At 43.1% G+C, this 21,327-nt stretch overlaps 1 protein-coding gene and 2 long non-coding RNA genes across 20 annotated transcripts in view, besides 12 other annotated features; 1 reads left to right on the forward strand and 2 right to left on the reverse strand.

Annotated features, from left to right (window-relative positions):
* ANKRD13C (ankyrin repeat domain 13C) overlaps window positions 1-5,655 on the reverse strand; it is a 95,724-nt gene extending 90,069 nt beyond the window's left edge. For all 11 annotated transcript variants that reach the window (XR_007064007.1, XM_047431282.1, XM_047431278.1 and 8 more), the window contains exon 1: window positions 4,912-5,655. Coding sequence is in view for 10 of the 11 variants with exons in the window: in XM_047431282.1 (XP_047287238.1) it covers window positions 4,912-5,341 (430 nt within the window). In the remaining variant the exon portion in view is untranslated. The remainder of the gene's footprint in view (window positions 1-4,911) is intronic.
* Window positions 4,062-5,261: an enhancer, noted in NCBI's record as "BRD4-independent group 4 enhancer chr1:70818812-70820011 (GRCh37/hg19 assembly coordinates)". NCBI's record gives its function as "activates an origin of replication core promoter dependent on BRD2, P300/CBP, MED14 and CDK7 cofactors, and independent of BRD4, by STARR-seq in HCT116 cells {active_cell/tissue: HCT116}" and the evidence as "EXISTENCE:reporter gene assay evidence [ECO:0000049][PMID:35650434]".
* Window positions 4,062-5,444: a biological region, named in NCBI's record as "BRD4-independent group 4 enhancer GRCh37_chr1:70818812-70820011".
* Window positions 4,521-5,439: an enhancer, noted in NCBI's record as "NANOG-H3K27ac-H3K4me1 hESC enhancer chr1:70819271-70820189 (GRCh37/hg19 assembly coordinates)". NCBI's record gives its function as "activates a minimal SCP1, AML or CMV promoter by ChIP-STARR-seq in naive H9 embryonic stem cells {active_cell/tissue: H9 hESC(naive)}" and the evidence as "EXISTENCE:reporter gene assay evidence [ECO:0000049][PMID:30033119]".
* Window positions 5,395-5,444: an enhancer, noted in NCBI's record as "active region_1188". NCBI's record gives its function as "activates an Ori minimal core promoter by ATAC-STARR-seq in GM12878 lymphoblastoid cells {active_cell/tissue: GM12878}" and the evidence as "EXISTENCE:reporter gene assay evidence [ECO:0000049][PMID:35858748]".
* Window positions 5,440-6,357: an enhancer, noted in NCBI's record as "NANOG-H3K27ac-H3K4me1 hESC enhancer chr1:70820190-70821107 (GRCh37/hg19 assembly coordinates)". NCBI's record gives its function as "activates a minimal SCP1, AML or CMV promoter by ChIP-STARR-seq in naive H9 embryonic stem cells {active_cell/tissue: H9 hESC(naive)}" and the evidence as "EXISTENCE:reporter gene assay evidence [ECO:0000049][PMID:30033119]".
* Window positions 5,485-5,544: an enhancer, noted in NCBI's record as "active region_1189". NCBI's record gives its function as "activates an Ori minimal core promoter by ATAC-STARR-seq in GM12878 lymphoblastoid cells {active_cell/tissue: GM12878}" and the evidence as "EXISTENCE:reporter gene assay evidence [ECO:0000049][PMID:35858748]".
* Window positions 5,575-5,764: an enhancer, noted in NCBI's record as "active region_1190". NCBI's record gives its function as "activates an Ori minimal core promoter by ATAC-STARR-seq in GM12878 lymphoblastoid cells {active_cell/tissue: GM12878}" and the evidence as "EXISTENCE:reporter gene assay evidence [ECO:0000049][PMID:35858748]".
* On the forward strand, window positions 5,744-18,956 carry ANKRD13C-DT (ANKRD13C divergent transcript). 8 transcript variants are annotated; one of them, NR_168350.1, is made up of 5 exons: window positions 5,744-6,141; window positions 17,079-17,261; window positions 17,377-17,470; window positions 17,866-17,917; window positions 18,550-18,956. It is a non-coding gene; the product is annotated as an ANKRD13C divergent transcript (long non-coding RNA). The 8 variants fall into 8 exon arrangements; NR_168349.1 differs by lacking the exon at window positions 17,866-17,917; NR_168352.1 differs by lacking the exon at window positions 17,079-17,261.
* Window positions 5,815-5,874: an enhancer, noted in NCBI's record as "active region_1191". NCBI's record gives its function as "activates an Ori minimal core promoter by ATAC-STARR-seq in GM12878 lymphoblastoid cells {active_cell/tissue: GM12878}" and the evidence as "EXISTENCE:reporter gene assay evidence [ECO:0000049][PMID:35858748]".
* Window positions 5,975-6,034: an enhancer, noted in NCBI's record as "active region_1192". NCBI's record gives its function as "activates an Ori minimal core promoter by ATAC-STARR-seq in GM12878 lymphoblastoid cells {active_cell/tissue: GM12878}" and the evidence as "EXISTENCE:reporter gene assay evidence [ECO:0000049][PMID:35858748]".
* Window positions 10,006-10,065: an enhancer, noted in NCBI's record as "active region_1193". NCBI's record gives its function as "activates an Ori minimal core promoter by ATAC-STARR-seq in GM12878 lymphoblastoid cells {active_cell/tissue: GM12878}" and the evidence as "EXISTENCE:reporter gene assay evidence [ECO:0000049][PMID:35858748]".
* On the reverse strand, window positions 10,492-11,370 carry LINC03102 (long intergenic non-protein coding RNA 3102). The gene is made up of 2 exons (NR_183713.1): window positions 11,230-11,370; window positions 10,492-10,928 (listed from the first exon to the last, which is right to left on the reverse strand). It is a non-coding gene; the product is annotated as a long intergenic non-protein coding RNA 3102 (long non-coding RNA).
* Window positions 11,302-11,495: a silencer, noted in NCBI's record as "fragment chr1:70826052-70826245 (GRCh37/hg19 assembly coordinates)". NCBI's record gives its function as "represses an EF-1alpha promoter that drives an FKBP-Casp9 reporter gene in an ReSE screen in K562 erythroleukemia cells {active_cell/tissue: K562}" and the evidence as "EXISTENCE:reporter gene assay evidence [ECO:0000049][PMID:32094911]".
* Window positions 18,806-19,652: an enhancer, noted in NCBI's record as "NANOG-H3K27ac hESC enhancer chr1:70833556-70834402 (GRCh37/hg19 assembly coordinates)". NCBI's record gives its function as "activates a minimal SCP1, AML or CMV promoter by ChIP-STARR-seq in primed H9 embryonic stem cells {active_cell/tissue: H9 hESC(primed)}" and the evidence as "EXISTENCE:reporter gene assay evidence [ECO:0000049][PMID:30033119]".

The following is a 21,327-nucleotide window of genomic DNA, read 5'->3' on the forward strand; positions in this document are numbered from 1 at the left end:
TAACCAATCAGAAGTACAGTCAAACCAAGAAAATCTTCTATACGTTTCATATTCTCAATTCTCAATAAGTAAAATTATTATCAATTATAAAAAATGTCTTGTCATCATGATCCTTTGCCAAACTATCAATGGCAAAAATTGATTCAGAAAAATCCTTACACTCTGACTATGGAAAAAGGCTTAGATTCAATCTTTTAATTTTACACTAAAGAAAAAAGTGGTATATAACCAAAGATAGAGTTCCATAATTTTGTGTACTTTTAATATTTCTTCCCCACCCAAAAAACAGCTGTTATTAAGTGATGAGTCACAATCATTTGGCATATTTGAATACAACATATACATGATTTTATAGCTGTTACTGTACTTAAACATACCTCAAGAAATATGTTTGGACCCAGAATACAATACTTCACAAAATAATTGATGACTCAAAAAAAAAAAAAATTCCTACTCAACCAATATTTTACCACAAAAGTAAAAGCTCTATCCTTTCTTCTATTCAATTTAAGTCAGTAACTTGCAAATGCACACACACACCAAAAATTTTACCAAATCAGTGATAGTTTAAACTGAAATAGCTTATGAACTGAACTAAATAGTGACCAAATCAGGATTCAACAAGTTCTCCAGGTACAATAAAGGACCAAAACTAACAAAATAAAATGTAATAGCTCTAAAGTCCTGCGTTGAGGTTAAAAAAATAAATAAATACAAGAAGGGATAGAATGGAAAGACAGCAGATCACTTGAGAAAAAAACATAATTAAAAAATTAACATACTCTTGGCCGGGCATGGTGGCTCATGCCTGTAATCCCAGCACTTTTGTAGGCTGAGGTGGGCAGATCACTTGAGGTCAGGCGTTCCAGACCAGCCTGGCCAACACGGTGAAACCCTGTCTCTACTAAAAATACAAAAATACAAAAATTAGCCGGTGTGGTGGTGCATGCCTGTAGTCCTAGCTTCTCAGGAGGCTGAGACAGGAGAATTGCTTGAACCCAGGAGATAGAGGTTGCAGTGAGCCAAGATTGCACCACTGCACTCCAACCTGGGTGACAGAGTGAGATTCCATCACAAAAAATAATAAATTAATTAACATACTCTTGCACTGCATAACTAAGTATATGCTGCTTTACAGCAATATAGTCTCCCTGTTGTCTTTGCTCACAAGGCTAATATATCTCCAGCAATAAGGTTAGTTCTGGGCACCATCTTCTAAGGGAAGAATTAACAAACAAGTTCTACTAAACGATGATGATGAAGATTTTCATTTACTTATTTAACACACATATAGTATTCACTATGTTTCAGGGACTATTCTAAATACTTCACAAACAATGTGATGAGGAATGGATACAAAAGTTAGGAATATTTAACCTGAAGGTAATCTTGCCAAATATCTAAAGGGCTATCATGTGGACAAAGTAGCCCATTTATTTGGGCCGTTATATAAAAAAGAAATAACAAACAAGGCTAAGAGATCTGGGCTCCACAGAAAAACCTGAGCTGTCCAATGGTAGAATCTCTTTACAAGACTCTTGTACGGAACAAATGAGAAAAAAATATATTTAAAAAATACATTAAAGAACTTTGCTATAAAACACCAAACGCACATTATGAGAATTGACTTCCTTGCAATATAGAGGGTCCTAATCAATAGAAATACTTACAAAGAGGTTCATGATATGCTTTGGAGTCCTTGCTATGATTTATAGCTTTGAGATTTATACTATATAACTTTAGTGACGTTTCCTTGCCTCTCTAGGCTTATTTTTCTTATTTTTAAAATGAGTGTAAAACTATCTGCTTTGGACTTGGCACGGTGGCTCACGCCTGTAATCCCAGCACTTTGGAAGGTTGAGGTGAGTGGATTACCTGAGGCCAGGAGTTTGAGATAGGCCTGGACAACACGGTGAAACCCAGTCTCTACTTAAAATACAAAAATTAGCCAGGCATGGTGGCACACGCCTGTGGTCCCAGCTACTCAGGAGGCTGAGGCAGAAGCATCACTTGAACCCGGGAGGCAGAGACTACAGCAAGAGCAGATCATTCCACTGCACTCCTTTGCAGGGCTGCTGTGAGGATTAAATGTTACAATGTATGTAAACACTTAGCACCCTGCTGACCCACTGGATAAATTGTGTCTATAATAAGGACAATAATCATCACTGTCATCATCATGTTGTGAAAGGAATCCTTACGGTGAACATAAAACTATGTAATACATGGTATAATTGTCTGGCTCTGCTATGTACCTGTATGAGTGTCTTATTCTGCTATGCATTTATGTTAAAGCAATCCAAAGAGAATATACATCATTTATTTATTTATTTTATTTTATTTATTTATTGAGACGGAGTCTCACTCTGTTACCCAGGCTGGAGTGCAACGGTGCGATCTTGGCTCACTGCAACCTCAGCCTCCCAGGTTCAAGCGATCCTCCTGCCTCAGCTTCCCAAATAGCTGGGATTACAAGCATGCACCACCATGCCAGGCTAATTTTCATATTTTCAGTAGAGACGGGGTTTCACTATGTTGGTCAGGCTGGTCTTGAACTCCTGACCTCAGGTAATCCACCCACCTCGGCCTCTCAAACTGCTGGGATTACAGGTGTGAGCCACCGCACCTGGCCAAGCTTGCTGTTGTTTAAGTGATTTTATAAGTATTTATCTTCTATAATTTTAAAGCAAAAATATCCTAAAAATCTAAAAGCATCCAGGTTAGTAAAATGTCAAGACTAAAAGTAATAATGTATCAGAAAAATCTATGAGGCTATGGGAGAAAAAATGACTAAATAAGAAGCACATTAAATTGAAGCCACAGTTCCTAGGACACCTCACTGTAGGAGATGAGCATGTACACATTGCAGGGGGGAAAGCAATTATATTTACCCCAGGTATGTGAACCACCGGTTACATTAATCAGAAACATCAATGATATAAGGTCAGCTAAACACAATAAAAACCTTCCTTTAAAAAAGTGAATTTCAAGGCCAGGCGCGGTGGCTCAGGCCTGTAATCCCAGCACTCTGGGAGGCCGAGGCGGGCAGATCACGAGGTCAGGAGATGGAGACCATCCCGGCTCACACAGTGAAACCCCGTCTCTACTAAAATTACAAAAAAATTAGCCTGGCGCGGTGGTGGGCGCCTGTACTACCAGCTACTCAGGAGGCTGAGGCAGGAGAATGGCGTGAACCCGGGAGGCGGAGCTTGCAGTGAGCGGAGATTGCACCACTGCACTCCAGCCTGGGCGACAGAGCAAGACTCCGTCTCAAAAAAAAAAAAAAAAAAAAAAAAGTTAATTTCAGTGGGCTAAGGACAAGAGTTTAAGAGTATACAGGATTCTAATTACTTTGAACAGAATTTGAACTTAAACAAATGTACTCCTAAATGTTGGGTTGAAGAAGACATGGAAGCCCAACAATCCTGTAATTCAATAGCTTCAGTGATATTCATCCATCTCTTCTTTCAAAGGGAGTTAACTCTCAAACCTTTTATCTGTTTCAGGGATATTTCAAGGTAATGTAACTATGGCTACTATGTAAACCAAATTTGAAAAACTTCCTCATAATAGACTAATAAACTGAAGCTACAACCCATCTCCCACTAACAACTGTTTTCCAAAGGGCTAGCATAGAATTACCATCATCAACAAACAACATTATCCTTGTACTATAATAGTAAAATGATTAAGTAATTTAAATGTAGGAAAGAAAAACTGGCTGCAACTTTAACATACTTTTTTGGGGATTTATGATAAATGATAGGTGGTGATTTTATTACAATTACAACATTGTAAATTCTGAAAACAAATGCAGTTGTTAGATAATTATACAGCCAAGAGAAATCTTACTCGTTTTTTTTATCTGAATTTTTGTCCTAAAAAGCCTACGATCCAATGGAATTAAGTGAGCTTATTTCACAGGCAAATATTTCATTGATACGTATATCATTTTGAGCACAAAGTTGGTTCAGTGTGTTCTAACTGAATGTATACAATTTTCATATTAATAGCAGAGCGATCAACAATATTTGCCAACTACCCAGTTTAAAACGGCTATTAAATGTTAAAATGTCAGTGTTCACATTAGTCTTCAATAATAAATTTACTGTTGCTTAAAAGTCAACTCAGTCACATTATTTTTTAGAATTAAACAAAAAATTCAGCTGACAAGGCAAAAAGAAATGGTCAATATTGACTAAGATAAAATTACCATAAAAATCATAATACTATTTTTAGTCACAGTCATCAAGATGAGACATTACTATTAGCAATTATCTACTTAAAACAAGCAAAAAATCAAATCTCTACTCAAACAAAAATCGGCTGTTGAGAAGTCACTTTAACTGTTCTACGTATCAAATACCAACAAATTTCTACTGTGTGGCTTTCAGAAATCTAACATTCTAAGTTTACTGAAAGCAGACAAAAAAGAAACAACCTGGTGGCAGGCAAAATCACAACCAGTTGCAGTCAAGATGGGATCTGTATGTGAGCAATGAAGGGAGGAGGGCAATTTATGCGTTCAAAATTTAAAATGCCAAGGTAGGGGGAAGAGAGAGAAATAAAGATATATAGCTCCATAAACAAAGGGAGAAAACCATGTTGGGTGGGAGGCAACCTAAAATTTCTGACAGTCCAGAATCAGCAAATCGAAGGCCTGTCTCAAACAAAACAGCTTCTCACGACAAACTTTGAAGTGGGCAAGGAGGATACATTCCTTTGCACCCACAAGAACCAACCCCTTGACCACTGGCACGCTATTACTGAGTCGATCATGATTTACCGAACGGCCCGGATGATGGGCAAAAAGAAGAGTCTGCTGGAGGGGGCCTAGGATTCCAGAAGCCTGGGGAGGCACACCCTAGGCTCGGGGAAGGAGAGAGGTGGAGAGGGGCTAGCACTCCTCACCGTGATTATCTTTCTGCCCGATATTGTGCGTGCGGATGAGAGAGGAGAGTCTCCTCACATCCCCCTTGAAGACGCACTCGTGCACCGGGTAGTGTGCGGGGCAACTGCCTCCATCCGCGACGACAGCAACGGGGTTGGTGCCGGCCAGAAGGGCCGGGGACTGGGAGTTGGCAGTCACGGAGGAATTGTGCAGCGGCAGAGCCGGGGCGCCGGGGGGATTGGAGGAGGCCGGAGCTGCCTTCAGCTGTAGCCGGTGGTGATGGTTACTGAAGATCTTATGACAAGCTTTGCCGCCCTTGCCAATCCTGCTTCTGGTAAAGGTACCGCCGAGGGCAGCCGCCGCTTCCTCATCCCCGGGCTCCAGCAGGTCCCCTTCTTCTTTGCTGGGCTTGTGGTCCCTCCGCAGTGAGCGGATCTTCTCCCCGGTCATCGCCGCCGCCAGGGGCAAGGGGGGGAATCGGGAGGCTCACCGCTGGCGACGGAGCTGGCGCTGCGGCGGCACAAGGCGATTAGAGCGGTGGCCAAGAGCCTCCAGCGCAGCATGAACTCCCACTGAGCCCCCGAGCCTGGGACAAACGCATCTCCCGGGGAAGAGCCGGCTCTCGCCTAGGCACGAAGGGACGCGCGCTCGCTGGGGGAAGCTAGAACTCAGGTGCCCACGACACCAGGATCTCAGTCTCGCCGTCGCAGCCGCCGTCGCTGCCTTACACCGAAAAACAGGGCACGGCCATCTTCCTCTTGCTCCTCTCGCGAGAGCTCCCCCAGGAGTGAAGAGAGAGAAAACACCGCGATAAGTGAGCCACCCGCTCCCTCCCTCGCACCTTCTATTCCCAGAATCACTAGGCGCCGGCGCCTCCGAGGCAGTGTGTTTCCGCCCAGAGCTGGAGTCTCCCAGCTGCCAGCCGACCCCGAACCCGCACTCCCGCCAACCGCGCTTTTTGTGGGCGGTCGGAAACCACAGCCTCCGTTGGATATGTTCGGTGCATGTTATAAACAACCACTTAAACCCTCCGGATCTGAGCCTCCCGCAGAGGAATGCAGAATGACGCCACGGCACGCAGGATGTGATGTCACCGAGATGCAGAGGATACTCAGTCAACCAACATTTACTGAGCATCTACTTCGTGCCGTATGTACGAAGCTAGCAAATATGTACAGCACCAGTACTGATTGCAGGGAGCACTGTAGAAGAGGAATGAAGGCCAAACAATTAAAAGCGGAGGCGGGGAGGTGGGTTGCACACAAAAAAGGGAGGGACGAATTTTAGTGTTGAGTTGTCAGGAAAGTCATAGAAGAGTTTAGGTGCTGACTTTGGAAAATGATGGGCTGTCCAGCAATCGGAAAGAGGGGAGGCCACTCAAATATTTATTAGATGAATGAATTTCGGGCAGATGTCAGAGTTAACATATATGAGGGTGGGGACACTCAAGGAGGGCAAAGAATCGTGTAACTGAAATATAATTGTATTAGTTCATGGCCAACCTCAACCTAGTGTCAAACTCTGAAGAAACGTAAATCTGCCAACCATAAAACTTTAACAAAGTAACTAAAGCTGGCCACTGAGGACGTAAGGAGGGGGCTTAGCAAAACATCCTAAAGATCTTCACCCATTTAACTCTCCAAAGTCCCCCTATGTTCTGAGAGCAAATACTTCAGATCTCTCTCTCTTTTTTTTGTTTTTTTGTTTTTTTGACAGAGTCTCTGTAGTCCAGGCTAGAGTGCAGTGGTGCAATCTCGGCTCACTGCGACCTCCACCTCCCAGGTCCAAGCGATTCTCCTGCCTCAGCCTCCAGAGTAGCTGGGATTATAGGCCTGCGCCACCACACCAAGCTAATTGTTGTATTTTTAGTAGAGACGGGGTTTCACCGTGTTGGCCAGGCTGGTCTTGAACCCCTGACCTCAGTGATCCGCCAGCCTCAGCCTCCCAAAGTGCTGGGATTACAGGCATGAGCCACTGCGCCCGGCCAGATCTCTTCTTTCTTAAAGTTTATACTACTGCTAACTCATCTCCGCAAACAAACAACTCGATGGGCCTCTCTTAATCCTCCCCAGTCACTCAACTTTTCACCTCCAATTTTCTTCTCAGTCTGTTCAGATAAATCTGTTTCTTCCTCTTCTTTCTTTTTCGGTGGAGTGGAGAGTTCCGTTTATGTTAAAACATTACCCAATCAACAGTTCAAAGCATCCTCTTGAGACAGCAGTAGAGACTGAAAAAATACATGCAATAATGTTTGCTTCTTCCACAATAGCCAATATTTATTGTTAACGCTAAGCCAGGCAGTATGCTTGGCACTTTATATGCTGTTATCTCCCCCTGATTAGCATTAGTATCCTCACTTGACAGTTAAAAAAAACTTGCCCAATACTTCAATGCTAGAATGTGGTACAGTCAAATCTGACAGTAAGGCTAGAGAGAGAGGAAGGGCCAGGTCATGCAGGGCTTTGTATGTCATCTTAAAAGTTTACACTTGGCCGGGCGCGGTGGCTTATGCCTGTAATTCCAGCACTTTGGGAGGCTGAGGCGGGCAGATCACGAGGTCAGGAGTTCGAGACCAGCCTGGCCAATATGGTGAAACCCTGTCTTTACTAAAAATACAAAAATTAGCTGGGCGTGGTGGCTTGTGCCCGTACTCGCAGCTACTCGAGAGGCTGAGGCAGAAGAATCGCTTGAACCCAGGAGGCGGGGGCTGCAGTGAGCTGAGATTGTGCCCCTGCACTCCAGCCTGGGGACAGAGTGAGACTCTGTCCAAAAAAAAAAAGGAATAGTCTTTTTAGAGATCTTTAAACAGGGAATAGCATAATGCAATCACCTTTATAGAAAATTCAGTGACTCAGGCCGAACGCAGTGGCTCATGCCTGTAATCCCAGCACTTTGGAAGGCTGAGGCGGGTGGATCACTTGAGGTCAGGAGTTCAAACCAGCCTGGGCAACATGGTGAAACCCTGTCTCTACTAAAAATACAAAAATTAGCCGGGCATGATGGTGGGTGCCTGTAGTCCCAACTACTCGGGAGGCTGAGGCAGGAGAATCGGTTGAACCTGGGAGGTGGAGGTTGCAGTGAGCCAAGATCGTGTAATTGCACTCCAGCCTGGGTGACAAGAGCAAAACTTGGTCTCAAAAAAAAAAAAAAATTAAAAAAAAGAAAATTCAGTCACTCATACTTTAGAGAAGTATGCATCAAGAACAGAACTTTAAAGAAGTATGCAGTAAATCAGATGATGAGAGCATGAACCAAGTTAGTAAGAGTGAGGCAGAAAAAGGTTTAAGAGGTTTTTAAAAATGAGTTCAATCTTAGCATATTGAGTTGAAAGTTGCTTATCTGTAGGGAGTTAGATGTTCTACATTTTAGATATTTGCAAGTGATCCTTAGGTAACAGAGAACTAGGTATGGGCTGGATTCAGAAGTTATCATTACACAGTAATTAATGCTCCAGAAGTGGGTGAGTTCCCCAAAGAAAAGTTTATAGAATGAGAAATTAAGAAGGTCCATATAGAACAAAATCTTGAAAACACCAATATTCAAAGCGTGTGTATAGGGTAAGTGGCCAGCATCCTATTACTAAAAACCTACACCAAATAATATCCCGTTATACTTGTGAAGTATTCTATCACTAGAGTCTGAATTTGAAATTTCTTTATTAGTGGCTGTCACCCATGGATGTCACCCATGGAATGTGGAAACTCATAAGTATCCCTCCAGTAAAATCAAACACCATACATATCAAAAATAATATTCAGGCCAGGTGTGGTAGCTCATACCTGTAATCCCAACACTTTGAAAGGCCAAAGCAGGAGGATCACTTGAGGTCAGGGGTTTGAAACCAGCCTGGGCAACATAGTGAAACCCCATCTCTATCAAAAAATATAAAATATTAGCCACCTGTGGTGCTAAACACCTGCAGTCCCAGCTACTCAAGAGGCTGGGGTGGGAGATCCACTTGAGCCTGGGAGTCCAAGGCTGCAGTGAACTAGGATTGCACTACTGCACACCAGCCTAAGTGACAGGTATCCTGTCTTTAAAAATAAATAAATAAATAAATAAATATCATCCTTTTTTATTTTTTATTTTATTTTATTTTTGAGACAGAGTTTTGTTCCCGTTGCCCATGCTGGAATGCAATGGTGTGGTCTCAGCTCACTGCAACCTCCGCCTCCTGGGTTCAAGCAATTCTCCTGCCTCAGCCTCCCAAGTAGTTGGCATTACAGGTCTCCACCACCATGCCAAGCTAATTTTTGTATTTTTAATAGAGATGGGGTTTCACCATGTTGGCCAGGCTGAGTCTCGAACTTCTGACCTCAGGTGATCCGCCCACCTCGGCCTCCCAAAGTGCTGGGATTACAGGCATGAGCCACCACACCAAGACTTATTTTTTGTTGTTTTTTGAGTCTCATTTTGTCAGCTAGGCTGGAGTGCAGTGGCATGATCTCAGCTCACTGCAACTTCCACCTCCCATGCTCAAGTGGATCCTCCCGCCTCAGCCTCCCAAGTGCTGGGACTACAGGGCCCAGCTAATTTTTGTATTTTTTTGTAGAGACTGGGTTTGGCCATGTCACCCAGGCTAGTCTCAAACTCCTGGACTCAAGCCATCTACCCACCTCGGCTTCCTGAAGTGTTGGGATTACAGGTGTGAGCTACTGCCCCCAGCCCATTCATTATTATTATTATTTTTTATAGAGGCCGTGTCTCACTATGTTGGTCAGGCTGGTCTTGAACTCCTGGGCCCAGGTGATCCTTCCACCTCAGCCTCCCAAAGTGCTGAGATGACAGGTGTGAGCCACTGCACTTGGCCCCATCCATTATTTTTAAGGGCTTGTAAAAATGACAGAAATGTAAGATTACAATATATTATAAAAAAGATAGAAATATGATTGTAATACATTATGAAAAATACAAGGATTGAAATTATATAAGCTCCCAATACAATATAGAAAAGGAAGTCATTAATTCTATTTGGGGAAAATAGAAATTGGATGATCAGAAAAGCTTTCTGGGGCTGGGCGTGGTAGCTCATGCCTGTAATCCCAGCACTTTGGAAGGCCGAGGTGGGCAAGTCACTTGAGGTCAGGAGTTCAAGATCAGCCTGACCAACATGGTGAAACCCCATTTCTACTGAAAAATACAAAAAGAATCAGCCAGGCATGGTGACGTCTGCTTGTAGTCCCAGCTGCTCGGGAGGCTGAGGCAGGAGAATGGCTTGAACCCAGGAGGCAAAGGTTGCAGTGAGATTGCACCACTGCACACCAGCCTGGGCGATAGAGCGAGACTCTGTCTAAAAAAATAAATAAATAAATAAAAGAATTACATCAAATTTTATCCCTTCTTAGCACAAATTTTTTTTTAACTTGGCATAGAATTCAGAGCCAGGAAATTGTGTTGAACTAACTTTCCAAATAAAATTTAGCATGTCATTCTATTATGAACGTATGCCACAAACCACAATAGTATTAGCATTAGTAGTACCTGTGACTTCACAACCAAAAAAACCACAGGTATTTTCATTTCACATAACAGTTGCTGCAGACAACTCAAAATTTCATTTATAGTCATTAGTACCTCTAAAATTATCTTAATAGGTATGCTCATTGCTATATCTTGTTCTTTAATTAGTTAATAAAGAAGCATATACATTACTGTATTACAAATTTGCTTTTAAAATATTTTGTTAGGTATTTCAATACTCAGAGTTTCCTTTTAATCCAAAATATTTTATGCATTTAAAAACACTGTTCTGAAAATGGGTCCCTGGGTTTCTCCACACTGCCAAAGAGTCAATGGCACAAAAACAGAAGTTAGGAACTTCTTCTTAGGAATCTTTGATGATACCTGCCCATTCGTCTCCTTTTCTCTCCTATCCAACAAACCCATCGTTCTGAATTAGGTGTCCCTCCTTTGTCTTCTTTTTGATTTCCCATTGTAACTTCTGCATGCCTCCTTGATATTCTTGTCTGGTCTCAACTAATCCTTGGAGCTCTCTGAGCACTGGAATCATGCTGATCATTGCTGTATGCACAGTGCCCTACAGGGAGTGAATGCTTATATTAATAATAAGCAGTTGTTGAATTAATCAGTCTATTAGAACACAAAACCCCAAGTATCTACAAGGTACTAAGACAACTGCAGACTCAGTAATGAGATGCTAAATAAACTTCTTAAATAATCCCAATATAACTACACTGAAATTAGCTGCTACACTCTTGAATTCTTACATGAAGCCAAAGAGTAGATATATCATTTAGGACTTTTTGTTTTTCATGTAGAAGTAACAATAAATTCAATTGAAACAGGGTTAAATTAAAGGAATGTATTGACTTACATACCAGAAAGGTGCAGAGATAAGTCTTCAAGAGTGGCCCCTCAGGATCCCATGTCAGTTTTTCAGTGAATCTCTCGGTGTTTCTCTCTGTATGAGGAGTCCTCCTCAGGCCTGCTTCCTTCAAGAACACAAGATAACTGCCAGCAGGTAAAAGCAGCCACGTGCTTCCTCCTTAAGGTCCAAAGGAGTTCCTGCTCCCACATAAATCTGGAGTATGACAGTTACAAGATAACTCAGTCCAATCTGTGTCCCAGAGAACGGTGATTGGCTCAAGCCTGGGTTATCTGACAAACCCCTGTGAAGGAGGGGTTACTCAGATTAGTTTCACCCAATCAGGATTGATCTCGGAGCCGGAGGTGGGGCCCAGCTCTCCAAACAGTGAACTGTTTCATAATGGGAATGAGGTGGGGAATAATGTTGGAGAGACAAATGCAAGAGTGGTCAGCAAAAGTACTATATCCAAAGACTTAAAACAGGATTTTGCTTCAAAAAAATCTGTTATCACAGTGTCTTGAATTCAATATGATAAAATATGTAGTGATTATCAATTATATCAATATGTAATGAGTAAATAACTTCACTGGTAAACACTGTATTTACTTTTTATTCAAATTTTACAAGATAGAATGCAATCCATCAATTCAAGTATAGAACTAAACTACTGGCCAGGCGCAGTGGCTCACGCCTGTAATCCCAGCACTTTGGGAGGCTGAGGCGGGTGGATCACCTGAGGCCAGGAGTTCGAGACCAGCCTGGCCAACATGGCGAAACCCCGTCTCTACTAAAAATACAAAAATTAGCCGGACGTGGTGGTGGACCCCTATAATCCAAGCTACCTGGGAGGCTGAGGCAGGAGAATCGCTTGAACCTGGGAGGCAGAGGTTGCAGTGAGCCGAGATTGTGCCATTGCACTCCTGCCTGGGCAACAGAGCTAGACTCCATGCCAAAAGGAAAAAAAAAAAAACCCTGAGAACTAAACTACTGAATTTGCTAGGTAATACTCTGTAGTTCTACAAATTAGCAAATTAATTTCTCTCCTGGTGTAGTTAACTCAATAATGCTCAATTTGCCTTGAATAGCAAAAAGCTTCTGAAAAATGAATGTTTTTCAACTTTTTCTAATGAGAGTTTTGTTAGATAGTTATGTGCTCACCAACACCAAACACTGACTAGACAGTTAAATCTGTCTCTAAGAAAGAACGTTGTGAATTTTGCCAGAAATTTATGTATCTCTATTAGCCCTACACAAAGCACCTAATCCCTGTCCTGGTGTCTTCATTTAACAAAAGCAGTAGTATGGTAACATGAAATACAGAACAGCAGTACTGTACAAAATAAAATCTCACTCGTTATATTTTTTAAATATATCAACAGACTTCCAATTAGGATCTGTAGTTACTAACCTTACTCAATTCTCATTGCATTGCATACTAATAATGTTTCTAATGTAAATATTAGTGCAAGTTTAGTCTACATCTTTTTTCTTTCATCTTCTCTGAAGATTTGTGTTTTATATTCTCACAATAATCTGGAATATGATTTCCTACATTCCACAATGGTTGAACAAGATCTAGGAGTATTTTGTTTGATAGATGATAGGGCTATCTAACTAATGAGGTAATTGTCTCTGAAATCTGACGACACAGCAGTACACTGACAGATGAAAATAACAAACCATGTAAATCAATACTTAATTCACACATTTTACTTCCATCTCCCTGGGTCTCAGTATTTTTCTCTTTCCTCTAAATCTGCCCCCTTCCTTTCTCAGAGGCAATGCAGAGCACTTTCCCTTTCTTCTACGGTTTCTGATCAGTGGTTATCAGTGATTTTGTAAAATTTCTCTTAAGTAATCAGAAAAAAAATCTGAGAAGCAGGGGTTGCCAAGGAAACCAGAGCCAATAACAGCTGGAAGTTCCTGAAGGAAGAAATTCCTTTGAGACAGATAAAACCTACAGACTGATTTGGAGGAAGAAGGAGAAAAAATGCCAGGAGCACAGTGAAAGGCTGAGTCAATGAGATGAAAAGGAAAAGATAAAGTGAAACATTCATAATTAAAATTATTTTTAGATCGACAAAGGCTAGAAACAAGAGAATTAGAACAGAGACAGGAATGGGTTTTTTAGTGAAAGAAGAGGTTAAGACACAATGGGTAGGCCCAACACTTTGGAAGACCGAGGCAGGCGGATCACTTGGGGCCAGGAGTTCGAGACCAGACTGGCCAACATGACGAAAACCCATCTCTACTAAAAATATAAAAATTAGCCAGGCTTGGTGGTACATGCCTATAATCCCAGTTACTACAGAGGCCGAGCAGGAGAAATGCTTGAACCTGGCAAGCGGAGGTTACAGTGAGCCGAGATCCAGCCTGGGTGACAGGGCAAGACTGTCTCAAAAAAAAAAAAAAGGCACAATGGGTAGTGTGTAAGAGATTAAATGGTATAGATAGACAAGGGTCAGTACATGTGTCCATAGCTTCCTGAATATGTTTTATTTTAAATTACTTTATTGCTCAGAATATATGTAACTACATCTGTATCTGTAGTCTAAATACTCCGGGCTGGGCGCAGTGGCTCACGCCTATAATCCTAGCACTTGGGGAGGCCGAGGCGGGTGGATCACCTGTGGTCAGGAGTTCGAGACCAGCCTGGCCAACATGGCCAAACCCCATATTGTATTTTTAGTCTCTCCTAAAAATACAAAAATTAGCTGGGCGTGGTGGCAGGCGCTTGTAATCCCAGCTACTCGGAAGGCTGAGGCAGGAGAATCACTTTTACCTGGGGGCAGAGGTTGCGGTAAGCCGAGATCATGCCACTGCCCTCCAGCCTGGGTGACAGAGCAAGACTCCATCTCAAAAATAAAATAAAATAAAAATTCCTCAAGAACAACTAACTCAAAACTTCCAAAATGAAACTCATCTCCATCAGCAATCTCACTGACCAAATCCATATTTCACTTCTCATTACCTTTGACTCCTCCCTTGCCATGAGGCAGGAAAATAGGGTCTGGAGGCAGGGAACACAAGGCCAATTCACACTTCAGCTATGACAGGAAATATCCTCTCTATGAGATGTATGCTGTAAATAACTTTGTAATTTTACTTCATCCTCTCCATTTACATAGGGTGTAACACAAGTAACCAATGGAATCCTCTAGGGGGTATTTACACTCCCCAAAAAATCTGTAACAGGTCCTTTGAACCCCTATGCTGCTCCCACGCTGTGGAGTGTACTTTCATTTTCAATAAAACCCTTCATTCTTCCTTGCTTTGTTTGTGCGTTTTGTCCAATTCTTTGTTCAAGATGCCAAGAACCTGGACCCCCTCCACTGTTAACAGCCATAAACCCCACATTCAGCCAGTCACAAAATCTTGACCTTTCTACCTACTGCAGAGCTCTAAAATGGAACTCTTTCTCTTGATTTTTCCACTGCCGATGAAGAGTCAAACTCTGTCAAATATTTGAAGAGATTTCTTCTGAATCAAATATGAGGACAGCCCTCAGGAGGTCCTGAGAACATGTGCCCCAGGTAGTCGGGTGCAGCTTAGTTTTATACATTTTAGGGAGGCACGAGACATTAACCAAACACATTTAAGAAATACATTGGTTTGGTCCAGAAAGGCAGAACAACTTGAGGTGGTGAGGGAGACTTCAGGCTATCGGTAAATTTATTTGTTTTTGTTTTGTTTTGTTTTGTTTTGTTTGAGACGAGTCTCCCTGGGACATCCAGGCTGGAGTACAATGGTATCTCGGCTCACTGCAACCTCAGCTTCTTGGGTTCAAGCAATTCTCCTGCCTCAGCCTCCCGAATAGCTGGGACTACAGGCGTGTGCCACCATGCCTGGCTAATTTTTATATTTTCAGTAGAGACGGGGTTTCACCATATTGGCCAGGCTGTTCTTGAACTCCTGACCTCAAGTGATCCGCCTGCCTTGGCCTCCCAAAGTGCTGGGATTACAGGCCTGAGTCACTGCGCCCGGCTTATAGGTATATTTAAACATTTTCTGGTTGATAATTGGTTGAGTTTGTCTAAAGACCTAGAATTAACAGAAAGGAATGTCTGGCTTAAGATAAAGGATGATGGAGACCCGAGTTCTTATTTGCAGAGGAAGCCTTCAAGTATAGGCTTCAGAGAGAAGAGAATGTAAAATGTTTCTTATCAGACTTAAAGTCTGTGCTGATGTTAATGATGAAGAGGTATAATGAGGCATGTTCGACCACCACTTCCCATCAGGACCTGAAACAGTCTCTGCAGTTAAATTTTAAAAGAGCCGTGAATGAGGAGGAAGTCCATTCAGATAGACGGTTGGAAGGGGGATCTTAGAATTTTATTTTTGGTTTATACCACTAGCCATATTTGGGTTCAGGCTACTATCACTTGAAACTGTCTCCTAACTGATCTGTGACTCCCATTTCCCACCTGTGCTTGCACACACAAAACCTCACATCACTCACCCCTTGGATTGCCAGATGTATCAAATAAAATTACAGGACACCCAGTTAAATTTAAAGTTCAAATATACAACAACTTTTTAGTATAAGTGTATCCCAAATAGGACAGGGATATTTGTAATACTTGAGGTATTGTCCCATGCAATATTTGGGATGTACTTACACTTAAAAAAAAAAAATATTGGTGTTGACCAGGCACAGTGGCTCATGCCTGTAATACCAGTACTTTGGGAGGCCAAGGTGGGTGGATCACGAGGTCGGGAGATCGAGACCATCCTGGCTAACACAGTGAAACCTCGTCTCTACTAAAAAATACAAAAAATTAGCCGGGCCTGGTGGCGGGCGCCTGTAGTCTCAGCTACTCGGGAGGCTGAGGCAAGAGAATGGCATGAACCTGGGAGGCGGAGCTTGCAGTGAGCTGAGATGGCGCCACTGCACTCCAGCCTGGGCGACAGAGCAAGACTCCATCTCAAAAAAAAAAAAAAAAAAAAATTGTTGTTTATCTGAAATTCACATTTACCTGGGCACTTCTGTAAACCAAAAATAAAATTGTAAAGCCCCCCAATCATCTGAATGGACTTCCTCCATGGCCAGGGAGCTCCTAAAATTTAACCTGAGAGGCTGGGTGCAGTGGCTCACATCTGTAATCCCAGCGCTTTGGGAGGCCGAGGCGGGCGGATCACCTGAGGTCAGGAGTTCAAGACCAGCCTGGACAACATGGTGAAACCCCGTTTCTACTAAAAACACAAAAATTAGCTGAGCATGGTGGCAGGCACCTGTAACCCCAGCCACTTAGAAGGCTGAGGCAGGAGAATCGCTTGAATCCAGGAGGTGGAGGTTGCAGTGAGTTCAGATTGTGTCATTGCTCTCCAGCCTGGGTAACAAGAGTGAAATTCCGTCTCAAAAAAAGAAAAAAAAAAATTAACCTTAGAGATTGCTTGAGGCCATGATGAGAAGTGGGGGTCGGATCTGCTTCATGATACCTCTCAGGCATTAACATCAACACAGATCTTAAATCTGATAAGAAGCATTTACAATCTATTCTCTCTGAAGCCTGCTACCTGGAGACTTCATCTGCTTGATAAAACTTTGGTCTCAGCAAGCCAGACATTTCCTTTCTATTGATCCCAGGTATTTAGATAAACTCAACCGTCAACCAGAAAATGTTTAAATCATACTGAAAGCCCTCCTCACCAACCACTTTGAGTTGTCCTGCTTTTCTGAACCAAACAATGTATTTCTTAAATGTATTTGATTAATGTCCCATGTCTCCCTAAAATGAGTAAAACCAAGCTGCTCCCGGACCACCTGAGACACATGTTCTCAGGGCCTCCTGAGGTCTGTGTCACAGAACATGATCACTCACATTTGGCTGAGAATAAATCTCTTCTAATATTTTACAGATTGACTCTTTTCGCCGACACCTTGTATTTCGTCTGGCAACCTTACTCACCCCTCAACCATTTGTTTGAGTTGTTTAGAGTTATGGATATAGTTAAAGTACGAAGCCAAATGTGTGGGAATAATAACGCCAAATTCAAGATAGTGGTTTCAATGGAGCACGAAGGAGAAAAACACCATCAGGGGTATATAAGAAAATTCTACTGTGTGTGTTTGTATTGTATATGTATTTTTAATTTTTGCTTTTTAGGTTTTTCCTCTTTTTAAAGAGTACTTATGTGATTTTTTTTTCTGTGATAGGTCTTGTCAACGGAAAGGGGTCCCTATCCAGACCCCAAGAGAGCATTCTTGGATCTCTTGCAAGAAAGAATTTGAGGCGAATCCATAGAGTAAGGTAAAAGCAAGTTTATTAAGAAAGTAAAGGAATAAAGAATGGCTACTCCATAGACAGAGCAGTGGCACAGGCTGCTCAACTAAGAATACTCAGTTATTTTTGTATACCCTAAACACGGGGTGGATTATTCATGAGTTTTCCAGGAAAGGGGTAGGCAATTCCTGAAACTGAGGGTTCCTCTCCTTTTTAGACCATATAGGGTAATTTCCTGACATTGCCATGGCATTTGTAAACTGTCATGGTGCTGGTGGGAGTGTCTCTTAGCATGCTAATGTATTATAATTAGCATATAATGAGCAGTGAAGATGACCAAGAGGTCACTTTTGTTATATATAAAGTTTTGGTGCCACAAAAGAAGTAGCACTCGAATATAAAATTTTCTTTTTAATTCTCAGCAAGGCAAGTTACTTCTATATAGAAGGGTGCACCCTTACAGATCAAACAATGGTAAGCGCTCATTTGGACAAGGGAGGGGAAGGGGTTCTTATCCCTGAAGCACGTGGCCCCTGTTGCTGTGTCATTCCCCTATTGGCTAGGGTTAGACTGCACAGCCTAAACTAATTCCGATTGGCTAATTTAAAGAGAATGAAGGGGTGAGTGCTTTGGCGGGAGTCAGGGCAGAGCAGGTAGCAGGTAATTGGAATGAGTTAGGGTGGAGCCAGTGATTGGAATGTAGGGTGGAGCAGGTGATCAGAATGAGTCAGGGTGGAGTAGGTAATTGAAAAAGATTGCTTTATGAGGAAGTTTAAAAGTAGAAGGCAAAGAATTGAACATACTGACATATTAATTCTTTGAAAAGAAATTTAGAACTCATATCTAACACCATCTTGCTTTTGGTGGGTTTTGGCTGGCTTCTTTACCGCATGCTGTTTTATCAGCAAGGTCTTTGTGACTTGTATTGTGCCGACCTCCTTAACTTCCTGGGAATGCAGCCTAGTAGGTCTCAGCCTTAGTTTACCCAGCCGCTATTCAAGATGGAGTCACCCTGTTTCAAACACCTCTGATAGTCTTGCTCTGTCACCCAGGCTGGAGTGTTGTTGGTTCACTGGAACACGAGTATTTATGTTTTATTTCTTAAGCTTAGTGATGTGTGTCAGACCTCTGAGCCCAAGCAAAGCCATCATATCCCCTGTGACCTGCATGTATACATCCAGATGGCCTGAAGCAAGTGAAGAATCACAAAAGAAGTGAAAAGGGCCGGTTCCTGCCTTAACTGATGACATTCCACCATTGTGATTTGTTCCTGCCCCACCTTAACTGAGCGATTAACCTGTGAACTTCCTTCTCCTGGCTCAGAAGCTTCCCCACTGAGCACCTTGTGACCCCCGCCCCTGCCTGCCATAGAACAACCCCCTTTGATTGTAATTTTCCTTTACCTACCCAAATCCTATAAAACGGCCCCACCCCTATCTCCCTTCGCTGACACTCTCTTTGGACTCAGCCTGCCTGCACCTAGGTGATTAAAAAGCTTTATTGCTCACGCAAAGCCTGTTTGGTGGTCTCTTCAGACGGACATGCATGACATTTGGTGCCGTGACTCAGATCAGGGGACCTCCCTTGGGAGATCAATCCGCTGTCCTCCTGCTCTTTGCTCTATGAGAAAGATCCACCTACGACCTCTGGTACTCAGACCAACCAGCCCAAAGAACATCTCACCAATTTTAAATTGGGTAAGCGGCCTCTTTTTACTTTCTTCTCCAACCTCTCTCACTATCCCTAAACCTCTTTCTCCTTTAAATCTTGGCACCATCCTTCAATCTCTCTCTTCTCTTAATTTCAGTTCCTTTCCTTTTCTGGTAGAGACAGAGGAGATGCGTTTTATCCATGAACCCAAAACTCCAGCGCCGGTCACAGACTCGGGAAGACAGTCTTCCCTTGGTGTTTAATTACTGTGGGGATGCCTGCTTGATTATTCACCCACATTTCAGAGGTCTCTGATCACTGGGGACACCTGCCTTGATCCTTCACCCTTAGTGGCAAGCACACTTTCCTGGGGGGCAAGCACCCCCCATCCCTTCTCTCCGTGTCTCTACCCTCTCTTTTCTCTGGGCTTGCCTCCTTCACTATGGGCAACCTTCCACCCTCCAGTCTTCCTTCTTCTCCCTTAGCCTGTGTTCTCAAGAACTTAAAACCTCTTCAACTCACACTTGATCTAAAACCGAAATGTCTTATTTTCTTCTGCAATACCACTTGACCCCAATACAAACTCGACAATGGTTCCAAATAGCCAGAAAACAGCACTTTCAATTTTTCCATCCTACAAGATCTAGATAATTCTTGTCATAAAATGGGCAAATGGTCTGAGGTGCCTGATGTCCAGGCATTCTTTTACACATCAGTCCCTCCCTAGTCTCTGTTCCCAATGCGACTCATCCGAAATCCTTCTTTCCCTCCTGCCTGTCCCCTCAGTCCCAACCCCAAGTGTCACTGAGTCTTTTCAATCTTCCTTTTCTACCGACCCATCTGACCTCTCCCCTCCTCCCCAGACTGCTCTTCCTCAGGTCACTCCCCGCCACGCTGAATCAGGCTCTGATTCTTCCTCAGCCTCTGCTCCCCCACCCTATAATCCTTCTATCACCTCCCCTCCTCACACCAGGTCCAGCTTACAGTTTCATTCTGTGACTAGCCCTCCCCCACCTGCCCAGCAATTTCCTCTTAAAGAGGTGGCTGGAGCTAAAGGCATAGTCAAGGTTAGTGCTCCTTTTTCTTTATCCGACCTCTCCCAAATCAGTTAGCATTTAGGCTCTTTTTCATCAAATATAAAAACCCAGCCTGGTTCATGGCTTGTTTTGCAGCAACCCTGAGAAGCTTTACAACCCTAGACCCTGAAAGGTCAGAAGGCCGTCTTATTCTCAATATGCACTTTATTACTCAATCTGCTCCCAACATTAAATAAAGCTCCAAAAATTAGATTCTGGCCCTCAAACCCCACAACATGACTTAATTAATCTCACCTTGATGGTGTACAATAATAGAGTAGAGGGAGCCAAGTAGCAACATATTTCTGAACAATTCCTTGCCTCCACTGTGAGAGAAATCCCAGCCACATCTCCAGCACACAAGAACTTCAAAATGCCTAAGCCGCAGTGGTCAAGTATTCCTACAGGCTCTCCTCCATCAGAATCTAGCTTCAAGTGCCAGTAATCTGGCCACTGGGCCAAGCAATGCCCACAGCCCGGGTTTCCTCCTAAGCCATGTCCCATCTGTGTGGGACCCCATTGGAAATTGGACTGTCCAACTCCCCTGGCAGCCACTCCCAGAGCCCCTGGAACCCTGGCCCAAGGCTCTCTGACTGACTCCTTCCCAGATCTTCTTGGCTTAGCAGCTGAAACTGATGCTGCCCAATCACCTCGGAAGCCTCCTGGACCATCACAGATGCTTTTGGTAACTCTTACAGTGGAGGGTAAGTCCGTCCCCTTCTTAATCAGTACGGAGGCTACCCACTCCACATTACCTTCTCTTGAAGAGCCTGTTTCCCTTGCCTCCATAACTGTTGTGGGTATTGATGGCCAGGCTTCTAAACCTCTTAAAACTTCCCAACTCTGATGCCAACTTGGACAACATTCTTTCATGCACTCCTTTTTAGTTATCCCCACCTGCCCAGCTCCCTTATTAGGTCTAGACATTTTGATTAAATTATCTGCTTCCCTGACTATTCCTGGGCTACAGCCACACCTCATTGCCACCCTTTTCCCCAGTTCAAAGCCTCCTTCACATCCTTCCCTTGTATCCCCCCACTTTAATCCACATGTATGGGAAACCTCTACTCCCTCCTTGGTGACCGATCATGCACCCCTTACCATCCCATTAAAACCTAATCACCCTTACCCTGCTGAACACCAATATCCCATCCCACA

The sequence above is a fragment of the Homo sapiens genome, chromosome 1, assembly GCF_000001405.40.
Source record: "Homo sapiens chromosome 1, GRCh38.p14 Primary Assembly".
Taxonomy (NCBI): Eukaryota; Metazoa; Chordata; class Mammalia; order Primates; family Hominidae; genus Homo; species Homo sapiens.